The sequence below is a fragment of the Homo sapiens genome, chromosome 7 (genome assembly GCF_000001405.40).
Source record: "Homo sapiens chromosome 7, GRCh38.p14 Primary Assembly".
NCBI lineage: Eukaryota > Metazoa > Chordata > Mammalia > Primates > Hominidae > Homo > Homo sapiens.
In genome coordinates, this window is record NC_000007.14 from 66,376,044 (window position 1) to 66,401,446 (window position 25,403).

Here is a 25,403-nt window from a genome sequence, read left to right on the forward strand (position 1 = left end):
TAAAACAGAAATCACTGAAACCACAGAGAAAAAATTTATTATCAATTCGTCAGAAATCCACTCTCAAGGTTAAAAGAAGAGATGGGGTTTTCCCAAGGCACTCTGGTGTGAAGTGAAAAAAATGACAGACCAGGGAAGATTTAGTCTCCTTGATGAGGTTCACCATGGAAGACGTAAAAGCTGTATCCCGAAGAAGGGAATACAAGGCAAGAGCAAAACCAGAAAACGCAATCATCAGGCAAAAGCGAGGCCTTGAGTGACCACTATGAGGCAGAAGATGGGCGTGAAGAGACAATCCTGAGACAGGGGCTGGTGTAAGAGAGGGCCCAAAAGAGGCCAGTATGGGGCAGGGGCCGCGCCCCTCAGGGCCTACGCCGGGCAGGAGGTGGGCCTGGCGAGGCCTACTTTGGGACGCTTTGGGCCACTTTGGGCCACATCGAGGAAGGCAGCTTGGGGCCGGGAGGCGCCGTCAGGCTGGGTGGGAGCTGGGCCCGGAGAGGCCACCGCGAGGCATGAGCTGGGCCCAGAGGGGCCAGCGTGAGGCAGGAGCCGGGCTGGTGGAGGCTGCCGGGAGGCCGGCACGAGCGTGGCAGGGGAAGGCCGCCGGGAGGCGGGAGCTGGGCCTGGAAAGGCTGCTGCGAGGTGAGGCAAGGTGAGGGGAGGCGAGGCGAGGCAAGACGCGGCCCTGGAGAGCTGGACTGGAGGAGGCTTCGGGCCTACGAAGGCCGCCGGGAGCTGGGCAGGAGCCGAGTCGAAGGAGGCTGTTTGGAGACGGGAGCTGGGCCCACGGGCGCAGACGCGAGCAAAGAGCTGGGCCCGGAGAGGAGGCCGGGAGGCAGCCACTGGACCGGGGGAGGCCGACTTGAGGAAGTTCTGGGCCTGGAGAGGCCACCACAAGGGAAAAGCTGGGCCTCAAGAGGCCGCAGCGAGGCACGAGCCGGGCCTAGAGAAGCCTTCGGGACGCAGGAGCTGGGCTTGTGGCGCCTGCCGGCAGGCAGGAGCCTGGCCTGGGGAGGCCGCGGCCGGGCACGAGATGAGCCTCCTCAAGAGGCCCCCGGCAGGCGGGAGCCGGGCCTGCCGGGGCTGCCGTGAGGCAGGCGGAAACGTGGCCTGGGGAGGCCGACGTGAGGCCGCAGCTGGGCCGGGAGAGGCCGCTGGCAGGCAGGAGCCGGGTCTCTCAGGGCCGCCGGAAAGCCGAAGGTGGGTCCGGGAGGCCTGAACGCAGGGAAGCCTGGGGCCTACAACGGCTGCCAGGAGCTGGGCAGGAGCTGGGCCGAACGTGGTTGTCGTGAGGCAGGAGCTGGGCCCGTGGAGGTGGCCGGGAGAGCTGGGCCTGGAGAGGCCGACGGGAACCAGTTCTGGGCCTGGAGAGGAGGCCGAGGGGCAGGAGCCGGGCCTGGAGCGGCCGCCAACAGGCAAGAACTGGGCCTGAGGTGGCCAGGCTGAGGCAAGAGCCCGGCCCCCATGGGCCACTGTGCGGGAGAAGCTATGGTTGTTCGGGCATCCAACACACGTGCTGTTCCTGGCGAGGCTTATTTCAGGACGATTTGGGCCTGCAGAAGCCATTATCAGGAGGCAGTAGCCTGGCCTATAGAGGCTGCGAAAATTTAAATTCTTGACCTGCAGAGGCCATGATCACGTAACATCTAGGCCTGGAGGGTCCACTGTCAGGCAGCGGCGCATCCTGAAGGGGCCTACAACAGGCAGGATCTCGGCCTGTGGAGAGGCATCCCCTGATCCTAAAGAGGCCAGTGTGAGTGATCACATGGCCCACAGAAGCAAGTGTCAGGCCAGATCGTCGCTTGGAGAGTCTGAGAAAGGCATGAGATGGACCTAAACAGACCATTGCGATTCAGCACCTGGGCCTATAGAGGCCAGTGTGAGGCAGGAGCTTGACCTGGAGAGGCTGGAAGACGTATGAGCTTGTCCTAAACTGTCCAGTGTGAAGGAAGAGTTTGGTCTGTCAAGGCCGTCGGGTAACAGGCTGTAACGTGGACTGGGAAAGCAACTGTGAGGCAAGGGCTGGGCCTCGGGAGGCTGGGGGAAGGCAAGACCTGGGCCTGGGGAAGCCATCGTCAGGCAGTAGCTGGGCCTGTGAAGGCCCCTGGGCAGCATGATCTGGGCCTGGAACGCTTGACTTGAGGAAGCTTTAGGCCTACAAAGGCCGCCAGGTGCTGGGCAGGAGCCGAGCCAAAATAGGTTGTTTTGAGTCAGGAGATGGGACTGTAGACCCAGCTGGGAGGAAGAACTGGGCCTGGAGAAGGCACAGGGAGGCAGCAACTTCACCTTGCGAAGCCGAACTGAGGAATTTCTGGGCCTGGAGAAGCCACCAAAGGGAAAAGCTGGGCGTGGATAGGCCGTTTTGAGGAATGAGCTGGGCTTCAAGAGGCAATGAGATGCATGAGCTGGGCCTCTAAAGGCTGCCAAAAGGCAGGAGCTTCATCTGGGGTGGCCACCTTGAGGGATGAGATGAGCCTAACCAGGCCATTAGAGGCAGGAGCTGGGCCTATCGGATCCTGCCATGAGGCAGGCAGAAACTTGGTGTGGGAAGGCCGGCATAAAGCAAGAGTTGGGTCCATCAAGGATGCCACAATGCAGGCAGAAACCTGGCGTTGGGAAGCTGCCATGAGGCAAGAGCTGGTCCTGTCAAAGCCGCTGGGAGGCCAAAGGTGGGCCTAGCAAAGTTGACTTTAAGAAGTCTGGGGCATATAGAGGCCACCAGGTGCTGGGCAGGAGCTGGGCCAAAAGAGGGTGTTGTGAGGCAGCAGTTGGGCCTGTAGACACAGCCAGGAAGAAGAGCTGGGAATGGAGTGGCTGATCTGAGTACATTGTGGGCCTGGAGGGTATGCCAACAGGCAAAAGCTGGGCCAGGAAAGGCTGCCGTAAGGCATGAGCCTGGCCTAAAGAGTCCATTGGGAAGCAGGAGTTGGACCTGTATACACCGCCAGGAGGAAGAGCTGGGCCTGAAGAAGCCACCATACAGCAGAGGCTGGGTTTATAGAGGCCGACAGGAGGCAGGAGCTCAGCCAGGTCGCAGGAGCTCAGCCAGGACAGGCTGACTGGAGGACATTTGGGTGCGCAGAAGCCACTCAGAGGCAGGAGCTGGGCTTTGAGAGGCTGCAAGAGGCAGGACCTGCCCAAACGAGGCCACTGTGGAGGAGGAGCTGACCTGTCACCACTGCCTGAAGACAGGGAGAAACGACCTGGAGAAGCCTCCGTGAGGTAAGAGCTTGGCCTGGAGAGGTCCCTCAGAGCCCGATGAGCTGGGCCTGTAGAGACCATTGTCAGGTTGGAGCTGGGCGTGTCCAGGCCAGTGGGAGGCAGAAGGTGGGCCTAGAGAGCTTGAATTGAGGAATTTTCATGCCGACAGTGGCTGCCGTGAGCTGGACAGGAGCTGGGCAGAAGAGTTTATTTGAGGGAAGTGTTGGGCCTGTAGACGGAACCAGGAGGAGGAGCTTGACCTGCAGAGGCCATCATGAGGCAGAGGCTTGGCCTCTATAGGCCAACGGGAGACAGGAATTGGGCCAGGAGTGGCTCACTTGAAGATAATATTGGAGAAAGTGACAGAGCATCAGGCATTAGATTCTCATAGGGACAGCGCAACGTAGATCCCTCACATGCATGGTTCACAATGGGGTGCATGCTCCTATGAGAATCTAATGCTGCTGCTGATCTGAGAGAAGGCAGAGCTCAGGCAGGAATGTGAGCAATGGGGAGTGGCTGTAAACACAGATGAAGCTTCCCTCATTCAACACCATTCACCTCCGGCTGTGTGGCTCCTTACAGTTCCATGGCTCTGGCGTTGGGGACCCTGCCCAAGTACATCCAGAAGGACCCTTCCACACCAGTCTTCATAGTGGTCAAGTGCAGCAGCCACTTAGCTCCCAAGGCATATGCCACAGCTGGCATTTCATCACAATCAACACTAAGTGGTAGCTTGAGTCATTGTGAGGTCACTTCCTGGAAATCAACAGCATCCCATTTCCCATTGCAAGGAGCTCAGCACGGCCCCTAAGATAACCAAACTGATCCCCAAATCCCATCTGTGTGGGTCTGTCTCCTGGGACCCTTCCCAGCATCAACTCTGTATTAGTCAGGGTCCAATCAGGAGACATAAACCACTCAAAAGCCCAAAGTGCTAAAATTTAATATAGATAATTATTCATTATAACAGGGGAACAGCATGAGAGATTGGCTAGCACAAAGTAAAGAGAATTCTAGAGAATATAGGACTAGCCAAAGTAAGGCATGGTGGCTCATGCCAGTAATTTAAGAAGCCAATGCAGGAGGATTGCTTGAGGCCAGGAGGTAGAGACCAGCCTGGGCAACACCCTGTCTCTATCCAAAAAAAGAAAAAAATTAGCTGCGTGTGGTGGTGCATACTCATAATCCCAGCTACTCGGGAAGCTGAAGTAGGAGGGTAGTTTGAGCCTGTGAGGTCAAGGCTACAGTGAGTCATGATTATGGCACTATAGTCAAGCCTGGGTGACAAAGCAAGACCCTGTCTCAAAGAACAAAACAACTATTTACACACAGAAAAGAAATAGGGCTAATAATGTATAAGATGTTGAAATGTGACAAATAAAGTAATAATAAAATCATAAAACAAAAAATAACTTATTAAATTATAATACCCTGTGCTGGCAAAGATGCAGTGAAATGGGCACTTTCTTATACAATGAGGGGTGTTTAAATTGTATGTAAGCCTTTCACGGTAAAGCTTCCAATTGTTTATTTATTTATTTATTTTTTTTTGAGATGGAGTTTCACTCTTGTTGCCCAGGCTGGAGTGCAATGGTGCGATGTCGGCTCACCACAACCTCCACCTCCTGGGTTCAAGTGATTCTCCTGCCTCAGCCTCTGAGTAGCTGGGATCACATGTGTGTGCCACCACACCCAGCTAATTTTGTATTTTTAGTAGAGACAGGGTTTCTCCATGTTGGTCAGGCTGGTTATCGCAAGCCAGAACTCAGGTGATCCACCCACCTCAGCCTCCCAAAGTGTTGGGATTACAGGCGTGAGCCACCACACCTGACCAGCAATTTTTTTAATAATAGAGACACTGTCTCACCCTACTGTCTCCTCCAAATCCTGGGGTCAAGCAATCCTCCTGCCTTGGCCTCCCAAAGTGCTGGGATTATACCTGCGAGGCACCCAAAACCTTGTCAATTTACATCAAGGACAATGAGAATGTCCATTCACCATGACTCACTGTAATCTTTCTTCTGGAAATACCTTGCAAGACAACTGAACCTAAACAAAAGGTCATCTGCACAAACACAGTGAAAATCTGGTAGTAACTGAAGACAGAGTGGTTAAGTGAAATAAGAAACAGTTATAAGAAATTAAACTATCTGGCCGGGCGCGGTGGCTCACGCTTGTAATCCCAGCACTTTGGGAGGCCGAGGCGGGTGGATCACGAGGTCAGGAGATCGAGACCACGGTGAAACCCCGTCCCTACTAAAAATAAAAAAAAATTAGCCGGGCGTGGTGGCGGGCGCCTGTAGTCCCAGCTACTCGGAGAGGCTGAGGCAGGAGAATGGCGTGAACCCGGGAGGCGGAGCTTGCAGTGAGCCGAGACTGCGCCACTGCACTCCAGCCTGGGTGACAGAGCGAGACTCCGTCTCAAAAAAAAAAAAAAAAAAAGAAATTAAACTATCTATGGTATTTATAGGCACCTGGTAGAAGGACAGTTAATGTTAGCTGCTACTTTTTTGTTGTTTTGAGATGGGGTCACTCTGTCACTCAGGCTGGAGTGCAGAGGCCTGATCATGACTCACTGCAGTCTAAGCCTCCCTGGGCTCAAGTGATCCTCCCACCTCAGCCTCCCAAGTAGCTGGGACTACAAGAACATGCCACCACACTAGGCTAATTCATGTATATTTCTGTAGGGATGGTGATTCCCTTGATTTCTGAGACCTGTCTCAAACTCTTGGCCTTGAGCCATCCTCCTGCTTCAACCTCCCAAAGTGTTGTGATTACCGGTGTGAGCCACCACACCTGGTCAGCTGCTTTTATATTATACCACTAAATTCAAAATTATTTGTCATTAAAAATTACTATTTTCAAGGCTATGGAACAATATGTGTCGTACAGCATAAGTGTAAAAACATATATGGTCGTCCGTCAGTATACAGAAAGGATTCGTTCCAGCCCCCCATCTCTGCATATACCAAAATCCATGCATACTCACGTTTCGCAGTCAGCCCTTTGGAACCCATGTATAGGAAAAGTCCAAATTATTAGTTGGGCATTGTGGCAAGCACGTACAGTCTCAGCCACCTGGGAGGCTGAGGTGGGAGGACTGCTTGAGCCTGAGAGGTTGAGGATGCAGTCAGCTGTGATAGCACTACCGCACTCCAGCCTGGACAACAGAGCAAGACCCTGTCTCAGGAAAAAAAAAAAAAAAAAAAAAAAAGGTTAGAAATTGTAATGATGTCTGTTGGGCAAAATTCCATGTAAGCAAAGTATAAATTAATGGAGCAATTGGTGATAAATCACTACGATTGACTTTCTGGAGTTTCTGACAATAAGGGTAAGAAAAATGCAAAACAAAGAGACAGAGGGTAAAAAAACAAATTAGGGAAGGATTCTACATGTTTAATAGGATGACACTGGCCATGTTCGTGCAGCAGCAGTATGTCACAATATGACATACCTTGGAGAGAAGTTAGCAGATGAGGAAGTTGACAAAAATGATGAGAGATGCAAAATACTGATAGCGATAGTCAAGTAAACCATGAAGAATTTCCATAACTGACATCAGCAAAGTGGGAATATTGTACAGTGTGTGTTGAAGTTCCTGTACAACAGTGTTTATTTGCCTTCTGTTTGTTTGTAAGGAATGTATTTACTAAAAGTTCTTCTTGCTGTCAAAAGAATATGTGTAAGTCATTAGAATTTATTCTTCTGTTTTTCTTTTTTAGAGATAGAGTCTTGCCCTGTCACCCAGGCTGGAGTGCAATGGCACGATCTCAGCTCACTGCAACCTCCACCTCCCAGGTTCTAGCGATTCTCCTGCCTCAGCCTCCCGAGTAGCTGGGATTACAGGCACGTGCCACCACGCCTGGCTAAATTTTTTTGTATCTTTAGTCGAGACGGGGTTTCAACATGTTGGCCAGGCTGGTCTCGAACTCTGACCTCGCGATCCACCCACCTCGGCCTCCCAAAGTGCTGGGATTACAGGCGTGAGCCACCGCGCCCGGCCTATTATTCTGTTTTTCTACTTTATCTTCTGGCCATCATCCCACAGCCTTAATTTGGAAATTTGTTTTTTAGAAAATCGAACAAGTGCTTGTTGTGGTGGCTCATACCTCTAGGATGGGAGGCAGGGGTAGAAGGGTCACTTGAGGCCAGGAGTTTGACACCAGCCTGGCCAACAAAGTGAGACCCCATGTCTACAAAACAATTTAAAGAATAGCCAGGTGTCATCATATATAACTACAGTCCCAGCTACTCAGGAGGCTGAGGCAGGAGGAGCCTTAGCCTAGGAGTTCAAGGCTACAGTGAGCTGTGATTGCACCACTGTACTCCAGCCTGGGTTGCAGAGGAGACCCCATCTTCTAAAACAAAACAAAACAAAAAAAGGAAAGAAAATAGGTAAAGTAGCAAGTTGTACGTGGCTTACTCTGAATATGTCTAAACTACATGTTCCCAATCTTTTTGGGTCTAGCATCCCTTTACATTTTTTAACTCTATTGAAGATCTCTTAAGCCTTTTTCTTTATATAAATAATTATATTAAAATTAGAAAATAAGACAAATTTTAAAATATTATTCATTACATATTAATAATAAAACCATTTCATGTTGATATAGTACAGGACAAATTTTTAAAATATACATTCATTACACATGAATAATAAAACCATTACAAGTTGACGTAAGTAGTACTTTTTTTTGGGGGGGAAACAAAGTCTGACTTACGCACGCTGGAGTGAAGTGGCACGATCTTGACTCACTGCAACCTCCGCCACCTGGGTTCAAGCAATTCTCCTGGCTCAGCTTCCCAAGTAGCTGGCATTACAGGTGCCCACCAACATGGCTGGCTAATTTTTATGTTTTTTTAGTAGAGATGTGGTTTAGCCATGTTGGCCAGGCTGGTCTCGAAATCCTGACCTCAGGTGATCACCTGACCTCAGGTGATCACCTCGGTCACCCAAAGTGCTGGGATTACAGGCGTAAGCCATTGTGCCCACACTGATTAATATATATAATTATATATATTACATATATTAATATATATTTACATATACATTAATGTTTACATACATATTAATATATATTTGCATGTATATTTATATATTAATATATTTACATATATTTTTATACATTATATATATTTACATATATATTTATTTATATATATATATATTTTTTGAGACAGAGTCTCGCTCTGTTCCCCAGGCTGGAGTGCAGTGGCACAATCTCGGCTCACTGCAAGCTCCATCTCCCAGGTTCATACCATTCTCCTGCCTCAGCCTCCCCAGCAGCTGGGACTACAGGTGCCCACTGCCACGCCCGGTTGATTTTTTTGTATTTTTAGTAGAGATAGGGTTTCACCGTGTTAGCCAGGATGGTCTAGATCTCCTGACCTCGTGATCCGCCCGCCTCGGCCTCCCAACAGATTCATATATTTTTTAAAACACTGATTAGTCAGGCAGCAATACTGGGCAGGGGTCTCTTCATTCCCAGCAATGCAAATCCCACTGCACGGCTCCGGGGTTGCAAGGGCTACAAAGCCTAAAGGCTCTAACTTATGATTTCATTACTTAATTTGTATTGTGACACGGTCCTGCTCTGTCGCCCAGGCTGGAGAGCACTTGTGCACTTATAGCTCACTGAAGCCTCGACCTTCTGAATTTAAGCCATCTTCCTGCCTCAGCTCCCCACTGGCTGGTACCACAGTTGAGTGCCACCATACCTGGCTATTTTTTAAATTTTTTTTGCAGAGTGAGGGGTCTTGCTATGTTGCCCAAGCTGGCCTCAAACACCTGACCTCAAAAGATCTGCCCACCTCAGCCTCCTGAGTAGCTGGGACTACAAGTACACATCAGCATGCCTAGCTACATTTCGTTTTACTAAATTTTGAAAAATATATTTATTGAGAGGAGGTCTTGCTATGTTGCCCAGGCTGGTCTCGAACTACTGCCCTTAAAAGATACTCCCATCTCTGCCTCCCAAACAGCTGGGACTACAGGCATGAGCCACTGCACTGAGCCTGAAGATATTTCTTTAATCTAGTATCCCATACTTAATAGGACTGGGAAAGACAGTAGTGTTTTTTAAAATTACTTAATAATTCGGTAAGAATCTAACTCAACCCTGACCCCTGCCTTCTCTCACATTCCACATCCAGTCTGACAGGAAATCCTGTTGACTGTCTTCAACACGTACTGAAGATCCCCACCCAGCAACTCCCTGGCCTCCTCCCCTACTTCTCTCCTCTGACCATCTCTCAACACCACCATGACCCTGGTCAAGACCACTATCATCTCCCACCTGGATGTTGCCACAGCTTGGCCCCCATGCTTCTACCCAAATCTTCCCACAGTCTTTCTCAACTCAGCAGCCAGAGAATGCTTTTAAATCGGCAGACATATCACGTGGCCTCTCTGCTCAGAACCCTCCTGAATTTCCTATCTAGCCCAGCAATAACCTCCCAGGGCTTACACGGTATGTACTGATCCCTGCCCAGCAAATCTCTGGCCTACTGCCCTAATTCTCTCCCTCTCTCCTGCTCCACTGGCCTCCTTCCAGAGCCTCAGACACACCTCAGACACCTTATTCTGTTTTTTCTACCTACAATGCTCTTCCCTCAGCACCTTGGCCAACTCCTTCCCCTCCTTCAAGTCTTTGCTCAATTTTTACTAAGGAGGCCACCCCTGACTATTCTATTAACATTGCCATCTGTCCCCATGCCTACCATACTTTTTTTTTTTTTTTGGAGACAAGATCTCACTCTGCCACCAAGGCTGGAGTGCAGTGGTGCAATCACAGCTCACTGCAACCTCCAATTCCTGGGCTCAAGCAATCCTCCCACCTCAGCCTCCCTAGTAGCTGAGACTACAGGTGCATGTCATCATGCCTGGCTGATTTATTATTTTATTTCATTTTATCTTAAGATGGAATTTCGCTCTTCTTGCCCAGGCTGGAGTGCAATGGTGTGATCCTGACTCACTGCAACCTCCACTTCCCAGTTTCAAGGGTGTCTCCTGCCTCAGCCTTCCTAGTAGCTGGGATTACAGGCGCGTGCCACCATACCTGGCTAACTTTTGTATTTTCATTAGATATGGGGTTTTGCCATGTTGGCCAGGCTGTTCTTGAACTCCTGACCTCAGGTGATCTGCCTGCCTCAGCCTCCCAAAGTGTTGAAATTACAGGCACAAGCCACTGCACTGAGCCATTTTTTAAATTTTTTGTAGAGACAGGGTCTCACTATGTTGCCCAAGCTAGTCTTGAACTCCTGGCCTCAAGTGATCCTCCTGCCTGGATTCCTAAAGTGCTGGGATTACCAGCATGAGCCACCATGCCTGGCTTTATGTTCATTTCTTCTTGTGGCTGCAACAAACTTTCCTACATTTAGTGGCTAAAAACACCACAAATCAACCATCTTTACAGTTCTGGGGGCCAGAAGCCCAAACTAGGTCTATTAAAGCTAAAGTCAAGGTGTCAGCAGGGCTGCATTCCTTTTGAAGGCTCTAGGCTCTAACATTTTCTCTTGGCTTTTCCAGCTTCTAGAAGCCACCCCCATTCCTTGGATCATGGCCCCTTACTCCATTTTCAAAGTCAGAAGTGAAGCATCTTCAAATCTCCCTCTCTGACCTCGGCTTCCATCACATCTCCTGCTCCAGTTCTGACTCTCCTACCCTCTTTCTTTTATAAAGATCATTGTGATTCACCTAAGGTCAAGAGTTTGAGACCAGCCTGACCAACAGGGAGAGACCTCGTCTCTACTAAAAATACAAATATTAGCCGGGTGTAGTGGCGCATGCCTGTATTCCCAGCTACTCTGGAGGCTGAGGCAGGAGAATCGCTTGAAGCCAGGAGGTGGAGGTTTTGGTGAGCCGAGATCGCGCCACTGCACTCCAGCCTGGGCAACAAGATCGAAACTCCGTCTCAAAAAACAAAAAAACAAAAAACCAAAAAAAAATCCTTGTAATTGCTGGGCGTGGTGGCTTCCACCCATAATCCCAACACTTTGGGAGGTCAAAGCAGGAGGAACACTTGAGGCCCAGAGTTTGAAACCAGCCGGGACAACATAGTGAGACCTCACCTCTATGAAAAAATAAAAATAAATATTAGCCAGACATGGTGGTGTGTCCCTGTACTCCCAGCTACTTGAGAGGCTGAGGTGAGATCGCTTTAGCCCAGGAGTTTGAGATCAGCCTGGGCGACATAATTAAATTTCATCTCTACAAAAATGAGCTGGGCATGGGTAACATGCATGTGTAGTCCCAGCTACTTAAGAGGCTCAGGTGGGAGGATCACTTGAGCTCAGGAGGTCAAAGCTATAGTGAGCTATGATCACAACACTGCACTCCACCCTGGATGACATGGGGAGATTTTGTCTCAAAAAAAGAACAGAAAAATATATTTGGTCTCTGTCCCTGGTTCCTGGCACAGAGCTTCTAAAGCTCTTATAAAGACCTCAGTGTTAGAGGTGATAGGAGCATCTTTTGTTTTAATATTTGGTCTTTGTCCCAGGTTTCTAACACAAGAGACTTTAAGAACTTTGGGATCTCCAGCATGACAAGAATGCATTTGGGGATATTGTTGAGATGATGAGTGGCTGCAAGCTCCTAGATTTCTTTAGGAGAAGGGCCGATTGCCAGAAAAAGCAACGACATGATTAGAGGCTTGGAACTTTCAGCCTCACCCGCTTAACTCCAGGAGGCAAGACGGGCTGGAGATTGACTTAATCACCAATGGCCAAGGATTTTATCAATCGTGCTTGCATAATAAAGCCTCCATAAACACCCTGAACAACAGGGATTGCAGAGCTTCTGGGTTGCTGAACATAGGAGATGCTGGGAGGGTAGCATGTTCAACAAAGTGCATGGGAGCTCTGTGCCCCTCCCCACTTACCTTGCCCTGGGCATCTTTTTTTTTTCTTTTTCTTTTTTTTTTTTTTTTGAGAAAGTGTCTGGCTCTTTTATCCAGGCTAGAGTGCAGTGGCACAATCTTACCTCACTGCAACCTAAGCCTCCCCAGTCCCCAGATCAAAACATCCTCCCACCTCAGCTTCCCTAGTAACTGGAACTACAGGTGCATGCCACCACACTCAGTTATTTATTCATTTATTTATTTATTTATTTATTTAATTTATTGAGATGGAGTCTAGTTCTGTAGTAACTGGAATTAGTAACTGCACACCACCGCACTCGGTTAATTTATTTACTGAGACAAGAGTCTAGCTCTGTTGCCCAGGCTAAAGTGCAGTGGTGTGATCTCAGCTCACTGCAACCTCCACCTCCCAGGTTCAAGCGATTCTCCTGCCTCAGCCTCCTAAGTAGCTGGGATTGTACGTGCGTGCCACCACACCTGGCTAACTTTTGCATTTTTAGTTGAGACGGGGTTTCACCATGTTTGTCAGACTGGTCTTCAACTCCTGACCTCGTGATTCACCCACCTTGGCCTCCCAGAGTGCTGGGATTACAGGCTTGAGCCACCGTGCCCAGCTTTTTAAAAATTTTTTACAGAGACAGGGTTTCACCGTGTTGCCCAGGCTGGTCTCAAACTCCTAAGTTTAAGCAATCCTCCTACCTCGGCCTCCCAAAGTGTTGGGATTACAGCGTGAGCCACTGCATCTGGCACATACATCTCTTTCATTAGCTGTTTCTGCGATGTATCCTTTACAAGGAACCAGTAATAGGAAATGTGGTGGCTCACATCTGTAATCCCAGCACTTCAAAGAGGCTGCGGTGGGAGGATTGCTTGGGCCCAGGAATTTGTGGCCAACCTGTGCAACATAACAAGACGCCATATCTACAAAAAATAAATTAGCCAGAAATGGTGGTGCAAGCATGTAGTCTCAGCTACTAGGGAGGCTGAGGTGGGAGGACCACTTGAGCCCAGGCAGTCAAGGCTGCAGTGAGCTATGACTGCACCACTGCACACCAGCCTGGACAACAAAATGAGACCCTGTCTCTCAGAAAAAAAGGAAACAAACTGTTTTTCTGAGTTCTGTAAGCTGCTCTAGCAAATGATTAAACCCCAAGAGGGGGTCATGGGAACCCCTGATTTGTAACAGGTTGGTCAAAAGTGCAGGTGACAACCTAGGACTTGCCATTGCAATGTGAAGCAAGGGTGGTCTTGTGGGACTGAGCCCGTAACCTGTGGGGTCTACGCCAACTCCAGGAAGTGTCAGAATAAAATTGTAGGATACCCAGTTAATATCCAGAGCATTGGAGAACTTGGTGTAGAAATTCCACACACACATTCAGTCGGAAGTGTGTGAGTAGAGACTAACATGGGCTTTTCTTTCACCTGTCTACCTGCTTAACTGCATAGGAGAGGCAATACGTGGTGCTCATGAACAAAGCAAACATTAAAGTCAGACCAGACCCCACATTTGACTCAGTCTTAATATCCAGGTGAGCTTGGGCAAATCACTCATTATTCCTAAGTCTTCATCACTTCATTCACAAAATGGGGATAACTGTGGCACCTACCTGTGATTTTGTGAGAATTAATGAAATATTATGCTTGATGTTATTGTGATCATTATACCTATTCCAAACTATTTGGCAAGGACAGTGATAGATGATAACATCAAAAGATTAGAAACTGTAATGAGGCCTCTTGGGCAAAATTCCATACAAGCAAATTACTATCTCTCCAAAGCATTCCTGCCACACTTAATTCACCATTCCCTGAATAAAATGTGCCGTCTTTATCGTCCAGGTCTTTACAGTGCTGGTCTCCCTACTTGAGCAGCTCACTCCATCCCAGCCCATTCCCCATCCCTCCACCTCCCCCTTCTCTGCCCACTCTCATACAATTCTTCCTCATCTTTCAGGACCCAGCTTCAATGTCACCTTAACTGGATGCTTCTCTCACCCTCCAGAAGTACTTCCTATTGCATTTGATGCATGAACTATTATTTGATCATTTTTGAGTCATAGTCCAAGTCTTTTTGTAACTGAATAACATGTTGCCCAGTCAGTCTCTCTTCCTGGACTCTGAAGTCTTTCATGGTAGATCCAGCTGGAAGTGACAAAAAGATATTCTTTAAAAAAAAAGGATGACACAGACAGACACAAGTTCTTAAACGTTTTAAATGGTATATGAAAAGCAAACAAAATTCAGAGGCTTATGGGGAACACTTAGGAAGCAAAGAATTACTGGGAACTTCATAAAGGGTTAATTTTTTTTTTTTTTTTTTAAAGACAGAGTCTTGCTCTGTTGCCCAGGCTGGAGCGCAGTGGCGCGATCTCGGCTCACTGCAAGCTCTGCCTCCCGGGTTCACACCATTCTCCTGCCTTAGCCTCCCAAGTAGCTGGGACTACAGGCACCTGCCACCACACCTGGCTAATTCGTTGTACTTTTAGAACAGACGGGGTTTCACCATGTTAGCCAGGATGGTCTCGATCTCCTGACCTCGTGATCTGCCTGCCTTGGCTTCCCAAAGTGCTGGGATTACAGGCGTGAGCCACCATGCCCGGTCTAATTTTTATTTTATTTTATCTTATTTTTTGAGACTGAGTCTCATTCTGTTACCTACACTGGAATGCAGTGGTGCAATCAGGGCTCACTGCAGCGTCAACCTCCTGGGCTCAAGTAATCTCCCATAATTTTTATTTGGTTTAAGAAACTCAGTCTTGGTTGAGCGTGGTGGCTTACGCCTGTAATCTCAACAGTTTGGGAGGCTGAGAGGGGTGGATTACTCGAGCCCAGCAGTTTGAGATCAGCCTGGGCAACATATTAAGACCCTGTCTCTACGCAAAAAACAGAGTGAATTTGTGAAAGGCAATTTTTTCCACAGACTGGGGGTGGAGGGAATGACTTCAGGATGATTCAAGTGTGTTACATAGATTGTGCACTTTATTTCTATTATTATTGCATTGTAATATACAATGAAATAATTCTACAACTCATGATAATGTACAATCAGTGGGATTTCTGAACTTATTTTCCTGCAACTAGACTGTCCATCTGGGGTGATGGGAGAAACAGGCATTAGATTCTCATAAGGAGCGTGCAACCTAGATCCCTTACACGCACACTTCACAACAGGGTTCGTGCTCCTATGAGAATCTAATGCTGCCACTGATCTGACAAGACATGGTGCTCAGGTGGTCATGTGAGCGATGGGGAGGGGCTATAAATACAGATGAAGTTTCCCCTCACTCACCCACTGCTCCTCTCCGGCTCTGTGGCCCTGCGGATGGAGACCCCTACTCCAGTGCATTCGAAAGTATCCATCCCATACCATTCTTCAGACTCATCTATACTACCGCAGCGGTCAAGTGTAGCACCCCTTAGCTTGAATGGCATATGCCTTGGCTGGCATTTCATCACAATCAACAGTAAGTGGTAGCTTGAGTTATTGTGAGGTCACTTCCTAGAAATCACCAGCATCCCATGTCCCACTGGCAAGGAGCTCAGCTCTGCTCCTTGGATAACCAAACCTATGCCCAAATCCCATCTGTGTGGGTCCATCTCCTGGTACCCTTCCTAGCATCAATTCTGTATTTCTAGGAGTCCAATCAGGAGATATAAACCACTCAGAAGTTTAAACTAAAATGGGCACGGTGGCTCACACCTGTAATCCCAGCACTTTGGGAGGCCAAGGCAGGTGATCGCTTTGAGCTCAGGAGTTTGAGACCAGCCTGGGAAACACGGCGAAACACCATCTCTACAAAAAACACAAAAATTAGCCAGGGGTGGTGGCACATATCTGTAATCCCAGCTACTCGGGAGGCTGAGGAAGGAGAACTGCTTGAGCCTGGGAAGTGGAGGTAGCCGTGAACAGAGATCGTGCCACTGCACTTTAGCCTAGGTGATCGAGACCCAGTACCAATAAAAAACAAAAAAAAGTAAAAAATATATATATAAATTTAATATGAAAAGTATTAATTATAACAGAGGATTGGCGTAATGACTGACACACTAGCACAAATGAAAGACGACTCTAGAGAATACAGAACTAGCAGAGGCCAGGCATGGTGGCTCATGCCTGTAATCCCAGCAATTTGGGAAGCCTAGGCAGGAGGATCGCTTGAGGACAGGAGTTGGAGACCAGCCTGGGCAACATAGTGAGACCCTGTTGTCTACCAAAAAATTTTTTTAAATTAGCCAGATGTGGTGGTGGTGCCCACCTATAGTTCCGGCTACTTTGGAGTCTGGGGTGGGAAGATCCCTTGAGCCTGAAAAGTCTAGGCTGCAGTGGGTATGGGTGGATTTTGGTATACACAGAAATGGGGGAGCTGGAACTAATCCCCCCCATATACCAAGGGACAAATTGTATCTGTTTTTACAATTATACTGTAGGATACATTATGTTCCATGACAATGGTAATTTTTAATGACAGTTTTTAATTGAGTGGAATTACCATAAAAATAATAAAAGTAGCAGCTAATATTTACTGAGCCGTTACTAGGTGCCTATAAATACCATAAATTTTTATTTTTTTTTTTTATTTTTTTTTTTTCCAGCAATTGGATTTCTTTTTATTTTATTTTATTTTATTTTATTTTTTTTTTTTATTGATCATTCTTGGGTGTTTCTCGCAGAGGGGGATTTGGCAGGGTCATAGGACAATAGTGGAGGGAAGGTCAGCAGATAAACAAGTGAACAAAGGTCTCTGGTTTTCCTAGGCAGAGGACCCTGCGGCCTTCCGCAGTGTTTGTGTCCCTGGGTACTTAAGATTAGGGAGTGGTGATGACTCTTAACGAGCATGCTGCCTTCAAGCATCTGTTTAACCAAGCACATCTTGCACCGCCCTTAATCCATTTAACCCTGAGTGGACGCAGCACATGTTTCAGAGAGCACAGGGTTGGGGATAAGGTCACAGATCAACAGGATCCCAAGGCAGAAGAATTTTTCTTAGTACAGAGCAAAATGAAAAGTCTCCCATGTCTACTTCTATCCACACAGACCCGGCAACCATCCGATTTCTCAATTTTTTCCCCACCCTTCCCGCCTTTCTATTCCACAAAACCGCCATTGTCATCATGGCCCATCCCCAATGAGCCGCTGGGCACACCTCCCAGACGGGGTCGTGGCCAGGCAGAGGGGCTCCTCACTTCCCAGTAGGGGCGGCCGGGCAGAAGCGCCCCTCACCTCCCGGATGGGGCGGCTGGCCGGGCGGGGGCTGACCCCCCACCACCCTCCCGGACGGGGCGGCTGGCCAGGCAGAGCGGCTCCTCACTTCCCAGTAGGGGCGGCCGGGCAGAGGCGCCCCTCACCTCCTGGATAGGGCGGCTGGCCGGGCGGGGGGCTGTCCCCCCTACCTCCCTCCCGGACGGGGCGGCTGGCCGGGCAGAGGGGTCCTCACTTCCCAGTAGGGGCGGCCGGGCAGAGGCGCCCCTCACCTCCCGGACGGGGCGGCCGGCCGGAAGGGGGGCTGACCCCCTCCACCTCCCTCCCGGACGGGGCGGCTGGCCGACCCCCGCCCGCCTCCCTCCCGGACTGGGCGGCTGGCCGGGCAGAGGAGCTCCTCACTTTCCAGTAGGGGCGGCCGGGCAGAGGCGCCCCTCACCTCCCGGACGGGGCGGCTGGCCAGGCGGGGGGCTGATCCCCCCACCTCCCTCCCGGACGGGGCGGCTGGCCGGGCGGGGGGCTGACCCCCCCACCTCCCTCCCGGATGGGGCGGCTGGCCAGGCGGGGGGCTGATCCCCCCACCTCCCTCCCGGACGGGGCGGCTGGCCGGGCAGGGGGCTGACCCCCCACCTCCCTCCCGGACTGGGCGGCTGGCCGGGCGGGGGGCTGACCCCCCCACCTCCCTCCCGGACGGGGCGGCTGGCCGGGCAGAGGGGTCCTCACTTCCCAGTAGGGGCAGCCGGGCAGAGGCGCCCCTCACCTCCCGGACGGGGGCTGACCCCCCCACCTCCCTCCCGGACGGGGCGGCTGGCCGACCCCCCACCCCCGCCTCCCTCCCGGACGGGGCGGCTGGCCGGGCAGAGGGGCTCCTCACTTCCCAGTAGGGGCGGCCGGGCAGAGGAGCCCCTCACCTCCCGGACGGGGCGGCTGGCCGGGCGGGGGGCTGACCCCCCCCACCTCCCTCCCGGACGGGGTGGCTGCCGGGCGGAGACGCTCCTCACTTCCCAGACGGGGTGGTTGCCGGACGGAGGGGCTCCTCACTTCTCAGACGGGGCGGTTGCCAGGCAGAGGGTTTCCTCACTTCTCAGACGGAGCGGCCGGGCAGAGACGCTCCTCACCTCCCAGACAGGGTTGCGGCCCAGCAGAGGCGCTCCTCACATCCCAGACAGGGCGGTGGGGCAGAGGTGCTCCCCACATCTCAGACGATGGGCAGCCGCGCAGAGACGCTCCTCACTTCCTAGATGGGATGGAGGCGGGGAAGAGGCGCTCCTCACTTTCCAGACTGGGCAGCCAGGCAGAGGGGCTCCTCATATCCCAGACGATGGGCGGCCAGGCAGAGACGCTCCTCACTTCCCAGACAGGGTGGCGGCCGGGCAGAGGCTGCAATCTCGGCTCTTTGGGAGGCCAAGGCAGGCGGCTGGGAGGTGGTTGTAGCGAGCCGAGATCACGCCACTGCACTCCAGCCTGGGCACCATTGAGCACTGAGTGAACGAGACTCCATCTGCAATCCCGGCACCTCGGGAGGCCGAGGCTGGCGGATCACTCGCGGTTAGGAGCTGGAGACCAGCCCGGCCAACACAGCGAAACCCCGTCTCCACCAAAAAAAAACGAAAACCAGTCAGGCGTGGCGGCGCGCGCCTGCAATCGCAGGCACTCGGCAGGCTGAGGCAGGAGAATCAGGCAGGGAGGTTGCAGTGAGCCGAGATGGCAGCAGTACCGTCCAGCTTTGGCTCGGCATCAGAGGGAGACCGTGGAGGGAGAGGGAGGGGGAGGGGGAGGGGGAGGGGGAGAGGGAGAGGGAGAGGGAGTATACCATAAATTTTTAAATTCCCCATAACTCTTCCTTATTCCACTTAACCACTTTATCTTAAATTACTCATGTTTGCTTCAGTAGCACATATACTAAAGTTGGAACGATAGATTGGCATGGCCTCTGTGCAAGAATGACATGCAAATTTGTGAATCATTCCATATGTTTTTAAAAAGAAAAAAATTACATCCGGATTTTCACTGTGTACATATGACCTTTTGTTTAGGTTGAATTATATCCAAAGATGGTATTTCCAGAAGTGAGATTACTGTGAGTCACAGGGCATGAGCATTCTTATTACACTTGATGTAAATTGTCAAGTTTTCAGGCATGGTGGCTGTCTGCTTATAATTCCAGCACTTTCAGAGGCTGAGGTGGGAGGACTGCTTGAGCCCAGTAAGTTGTGGCTGCAGTGAGCCATAACTGCACCACTGCACCGCTGCACTCCAGTCTGGGCAAGAGAGTGAGATAGAAGGTTGACTTTTTAATAGAATTTTTCTGTTCACTTAAAGATATGGCCAGGACTGTGCTATATGAAAATTTTCATAAAATAATTATCTCATCCAATTAATGTTGGAATTGGGAACAGAAAATGTTTTGGTGACTATTTATTCCTTCACTTGCTGTTATAGAAACTATTGCCAGTGGGCACTTAACAACGAAGTGTCATCTCTGAGCTACTCACAATGAAAGGTGATGTCTGGGGCCCAGGTGTGTTGAGGTCCCCATGTCTGGGCTATGGGTGCTGAGTGGGACTTACTTGTCCATCCATTTTCTGTATTCCAGCACTGGGAAACTTGCGTTTATCCATCTTGATAAAAGGTCATTTAAATTCCACCTGGCAAAAACCACAAATGGAAAAAAGGCCATGAAACTACAGGCTAGCCCTTGTTCTCAAAAGAATATTTAGCTAAGGTGGTTCTGTAAAAGAGGAATCACATTGTTGAAAACTCATCGCAGGTCAGGTGAGGTGGCTCACACCTGTAATCCCAGCCCATTGGGAGACTAAGGCAGGAGGATATCCCGTGAGGCCAGAAATTCAAGACCAGCCTGAGCAACAGAGCGAAACCTCATCTCTGCAAAAAATTAGAAAATGAGCTGGGTGTGGTGGCACATTCCTATAGTCCCAGTTACTTTGGAGGCTGAAGTGGGAGGATCAAAGTGGAAGCTGCAGAAGTAGAAGCTGCAGTGAGCTCTGATCTCACCACTGCACTCCAGCCTGGGTGACAGAGTGAGACCCTGTCTCAACATACACACACACACACAAACACACACACACACACACACACCCCTCATCTCAGTCTGCCCAGCCTTGACTAGTGAAAAGGGTCTTCTGGTTACAGAAGAGGTATGCTCTTTTTTAGGACAGGGAGGGACCAGCAAGCTTGTTCACAGCCTTTCCCTCATTCTCTGCTTAGTTTTCCAAGAACCTTCAGGTGGAAAGGGAGTCCCTGGAGAAAAGACCTAACTCATCAGGTTACCAAAGGAGAAATATGCATCCTTTGTCAATTAATAAATGGAACACCTGCCTTAAAAACCAGGGAGTTCTGCTAGGGTGAATCACTCCCTACGACCCTGACCTATGTAGGGAACATAAAAACCTGGAGTTTGGGGACCTATAATATTGAAGGCCACATTGCAGTTGTGGAGACCTTACCAAAGTACAGCCTTTCCACAAGCAACTACCAAACACCAGCTGCCTCTCTCCATGGGGCACAGCTGTATCTCTGGCTCTCGTTTCCCCCGGAGATGCTCTATTCCAGCCTTCTCTTACATTTTGTATCCCGCACAGTTCCTGGCATAAGGACTTACAACATAGCAGGCTGCTATGTTAATGGTGATATACTGCAGATCCAACCTGAAATTCCAGCAGGGCGCTTTGTGTTTGAGAAATTAAAGGGGAGAGAATGGACCCAGCCTGCTAGAATATAAAAAATTTAAAGAAGAAAAAAATATTAAAATAAAATTTTCTCCTAAAGAGCACTCAAAAGCACACTCCCACCAATGCTGGATCTATTTATCTCTCTCTTGCTTTTTTCTTTCTGAGATAGGGTCTCACTCTGTCACTCAGACTGGAGTGCAATGGCAAGATCACCGCTTACTGTAGCTTTCAATTCCTGGGCTCAAGCTATCCTCCCACTTCAGCCTCCCGAGTAGCTGCGATTGCAGGTGCATGCCACCATGCCTGGCTAATTTTTAAATTTTTTGTAGAGATGGGGTCTCACTATGGCCCAGACTGGTCTTGAACTCCTGGGTCAAACTAATCCTCCTGCCTTGGCCTAGTGCTAGGATTATAGGCTTTAGCCACTGAGCCCAGTCTATTTATCTTTCTATAACTCACATATTAAATCTTCCTCCTTAAATCACCTCCTACCCACCCATCTGCAGGGACAGCAAACACAGGTCTCAGAGGGTCAGGCAACCTACAGGAGGGAATGAGGCCAGAGTAATATGGGAGACCGGGGGGAACTGTAGCAAACTGCAAGGTATTCACTTCAACAGTTCTTCAACACTGTGATGGTCAAACCAAACACAGAAACAGGAAGCCCAGTTCAATCACCAGCAGCCAATGTGGGATATTTGATCCACATGCTACAGGGCAAACTGCTTACGATAAATGACCTGGTCTCCACCAACCTGCTCTTGAAGTCTAGCCGCTCCTGCCCAACTTCCTACACTCTACTGACATGACCCACATTCACAGTACTCTCCTGAAACTTTGCTTGTTCACTCTTTTATTTTCCCAACGAATATTTTTCTTTTTCTTTTTTTTACTTTTTTTGAGACACAGTCCCCTTCTGTCACACAGGCTGAAGTACAGCAGGATGATTATGGCTCACTGCAGCTTCCATCACCTGGGCTCAAGTGATCCTCCCACCTTAGCCTCCCAAGTAGTTGATATTACAGCCATGTAACACCACACCCAGCTAAATTTATTATTTTTTCTTTTTCTTTTTTTTTTTTTCAGACGGAGTCTCGCTCTGTCGCCCAGACTGGAGTGCAGTGGCATGATCTCGGCTCTCTGCAACCTCTGCCTCCTGGGTTCAAGCGATTCTCTTTCCTCAGCCTTCCGAGTAGCTGGGATTACAGGTGTGTGCCACTATGCCCGACTAACTTTTATATTTTTAGTAGAGACAGGGTTTCACCATGTTCGCCAGGCTGGTCTTGAACTCCTGACCTCAGGTGATCTGCCCACCTCAGCCTCCCAAAGTGCTGGGATTACAGGTGTGAGCCACCGTGCCTGGCCAGTTTATTATTTTTTCTAGAGACAGGGTCTCACTATGTTGCCCAGACTGGCCTTGAACTCCTGGGCACAAGTAATCCTCTGGCCCCCACCTCCCAAAGAGCTGGGATTACAGGATTGCACCAACACATCAGGCCCTAACAAACACTTCTTGAGCTCCTACTAAATACCAGGCACTATAATAGGTGCCCAGGAAACAGCAGTGAACAAGGTATAAGAGTTTCTGCCCTTGGCCGGGCGTGGTGGCTCACGCCTGTAATCCCAGCACTTTGGGAAGCTGAGGCAGGTGAATCACCTCAAGTCAGGAGTTCGAGACCAGCCTGACAAACATGGTGAAACCCTGTCTCTACTAAAAGTACAAAAATTAGCAAGGCATGGTTGTGCATGTCTGTAATCCCAGCTACAGCTACTCGGGAGGCTGAGGCAGGAGAATCGCTTCAACCCAGGAGGCGGAGGTTGCAATGAGCTGAGGCGCTGCACTCCAGCCTGGGCAACAAGAGTGAAACTCCGTATCAAAAAAAAAAAAAAAAAAAAAGTTTCTGCCCTCGCAGAGCTTATAGGGTAGCAGGAAATTGATATAGCTTGAACGTTTGTCTCTTCCAAATCTTATTGAAATTGAATCCCTAATGTTGGAGGTGGGGCCTGGTGGGAGGTGTGTGAGTCATGAGGGCAGATCCCTCATGAATGGCTTGGTGCCCTCCCCAAGGTAATGAGTGAGTTCTCTCTCTACTAGTTCACATGAGAGCTGATTGTTTAAAGAGCCTGGCACCTCCTCCCCTCTCCCTTGCTCCCTCTTCTCAACAAGTGACATGCCGGCTCCTCCTTCATCTTCCGCCATGAGAGGAAGCCTCCTGAGGTCCTCACCAGCAGATGCTGGTACTATGCTTTTTTTTTTTTCCTGAGACAGAGTCTCACTCTGACACTCAGGCGAGAGAGCAGTAGTGTAATTATGGCTCACTGCAACCCTGACATCCCGGGCTAAAGAGGTCTTTTTACCTTAGCCTTTCAAGTAGCTGAAATCACAGGCATGCATCAGTGTACCATCATACTTGGCTATTTTTTTTTTTATTTTTAGCAGAGACAAGATCTTATCATGTTTCCCAGGCTGCTTTTGAACTTCTGGGCTCAAGCAATCCTCCTGCTTCAGCGTCCCAAAGTGCCGGGATTACAGGTGTGGGCCACTGCTCCCAGCCTGGCACCATGCTACTTGTATAGTCTGCAGGACTGTGAGCCAAATAAACTGTTTTTCTTTATAAACTACCCAGCCTGAGGTGTTTCCTTACAGCAATGCAAAATGGACTAACCTAGGAATCACAGGCCAACACTTACCAGACTGTGATGAGCACATGACAATAGTACAGACTGGGACTGAAACATTCCCCAGGGGCTTCTTGTTGCATCATAGAGAGTAGGGTGAGACATCTTGGCTGAGGCTAAAGATGAGCAAAGATGAGAGTGAAAGAGTGATGATGGAGGTAGGGAGAGGGATTCCTGAAGGACCAGTGAAGTCCCCCAAGGAAACTGACATTCCTGTGGCTGGAGGGTAGGGATTTGGGGAGGCTGGTGCAGGATAAAACTGGGAAGGTGAGCAGAGGCCAGCTCTTACCAGGCCCTGTGGCCAAATTAGTTTGGACTTTGTCTTAAAGGCAATGGGCAGTCACCAGCAGGTTTTAATCAAGAACTATTTTGATCCAAATTTGCCTTTTAGGAGAATTCCTCTGGCTTCAGTGAACAGGCCGAAGTGAGCAAGCCTAATAGGAAGACAATTGGAGGCCCTCACAATAAACCAGTGTAAAAGAGAATAGGGCCGGGCATGGTGGCTCCTGCCTGTAATCTCAAAACTTTAGAAGTCCAAGGTGGGTGGATGGCTTGAGCCCAGGAGTTTGAGACCAGCCAGAGCAATGTGATGAAACACATCTCTACAAAACACAAAAATTAGTTGGGCATGATGGCTCGTACCTGTTGTCCCAGCTACCCCAGAGTCTGAGGCAGAAGGATAGCTTGAGCCTGAGAGGTTGAGACTGCAGTGAGCCAAGATCAAACCACTGTGCTCCAGCCTGGGCAACACAGGAAGACTGTCTCAAAAAAAAAAAAAAAAAAGAAAAGAGAAAAAGTTCCCATTCTTCACTTATTAGTGCCCTAACATTATCATGAGAACCCTGGTGACACAGTGAATTCAACTGTCATGGTAATTCAGCAACCAACACGTTTAATAATTATTGATTACCAATTGATATTGATTACCAATAATATCACCCCTGTGGATACAAGAAATAAGGAATTGTGTTTGTGCTATCATGGGAGCTCTCTGGATCTCAGACCATGACTTATGCTGAGAGGTAAAGACTTGAGCTTTTTGCTTTTCTCTCTGTAAGTGCTCAAGTGCAGCGGTCTCCAATTTTGGGGGGACCAGGGACCGGTTTTGTGGAAGACAGTTTTTCCATAGACTAGGGGCAGCGAAGGTCAGTTTTGGGATATATAAAGCACATTACATTTATTGTGCACTTTATTTCTATTATTATTACATTGTAGCATATAACAAAATAATTACATAACTCACCATAATGTAGAATGAGTGGGAGTCTTGACCTTCTTTTCCTGCAACTAGATGGTCCCATCTGGGGGTGATGGGAGACAATGACAGTTCATCAGGCATTAGATTCTCCTAAGGACAGAGCAAGATAGATCCCTTGCATGCACAGTTCACAATAGGGTTCGTGCTCACATGAGAATCTAATGTTGCCACTGATCTGACAGAAGGCAGAGATCAGGTGGTAATGTGGGGAGCGGCTGTAAATACAGATGAAGCTTCGCTCACCCACCCTTACTCACCTCCTGTTGTGTGGCCCAGTACAGGCCTGTGACCCAGGGATCAGGGGTCCCTGCTGAAGTGCATCCAAAAGGATTCTTCCCACACCAGTCTTCATAGTGGTCAAGTGCAGCAGCCACTTAGCTCCCAAGGCATGTGCCTCCACTGGCATTTCATCACAATCAACAGTAAGTGGTAGCTTGAGTCATTATGAGGTCACTTCCTGGAAATCACCAGCATCCCATTTCCCATTGGCAAGGAGCTCAGCGCTGCCC

The 25,403-nt window shown here is 49.5% G+C and overlaps 1 long non-coding RNA gene and 1 pseudogene across 1 annotated transcript, besides 2 other annotated features; one reads left to right on the plus strand and one right to left on the minus strand.

The window, feature by feature from the left end:
* On the minus strand, nucleotides 1-24,365 carry LINC00174 (long intergenic non-protein coding RNA 174). Its single transcript, NR_026873.1, has 5 exons — nucleotides 24,279-24,365; nucleotides 23,649-23,752; nucleotides 19,836-19,913; nucleotides 6,194-6,388; nucleotides 1-3,960 (listed from the first exon to the last, which is right to left on the minus strand). It is a non-coding gene; the product is annotated as a long intergenic non-protein coding RNA 174 (long non-coding RNA).
* Nucleotides 12,122-12,622: an enhancer, noted in NCBI's record as "H3K4me1 hESC enhancer chr7:65853152-65853652 (GRCh37/hg19 assembly coordinates)". NCBI's record gives its function as "activates a minimal SCP1, AML or CMV promoter by ChIP-STARR-seq in primed H9 embryonic stem cells {active_cell/tissue: H9 hESC(primed)}" and the evidence as "EXISTENCE:reporter gene assay evidence [ECO:0000049][PMID:30033119]".
* Nucleotides 12,623-13,123: an enhancer, noted in NCBI's record as "H3K4me1 hESC enhancer chr7:65853653-65854153 (GRCh37/hg19 assembly coordinates)". NCBI's record gives its function as "activates a minimal SCP1, AML or CMV promoter by ChIP-STARR-seq in primed H9 embryonic stem cells {active_cell/tissue: H9 hESC(primed)}" and the evidence as "EXISTENCE:reporter gene assay evidence [ECO:0000049][PMID:30033119]".
* Nucleotides 19,148-19,243, plus strand: LOC124901822 (uncharacterized; annotated as a pseudogene).
* Nucleotides 24,366-25,403: the final 1,038 nt, after the last annotated feature.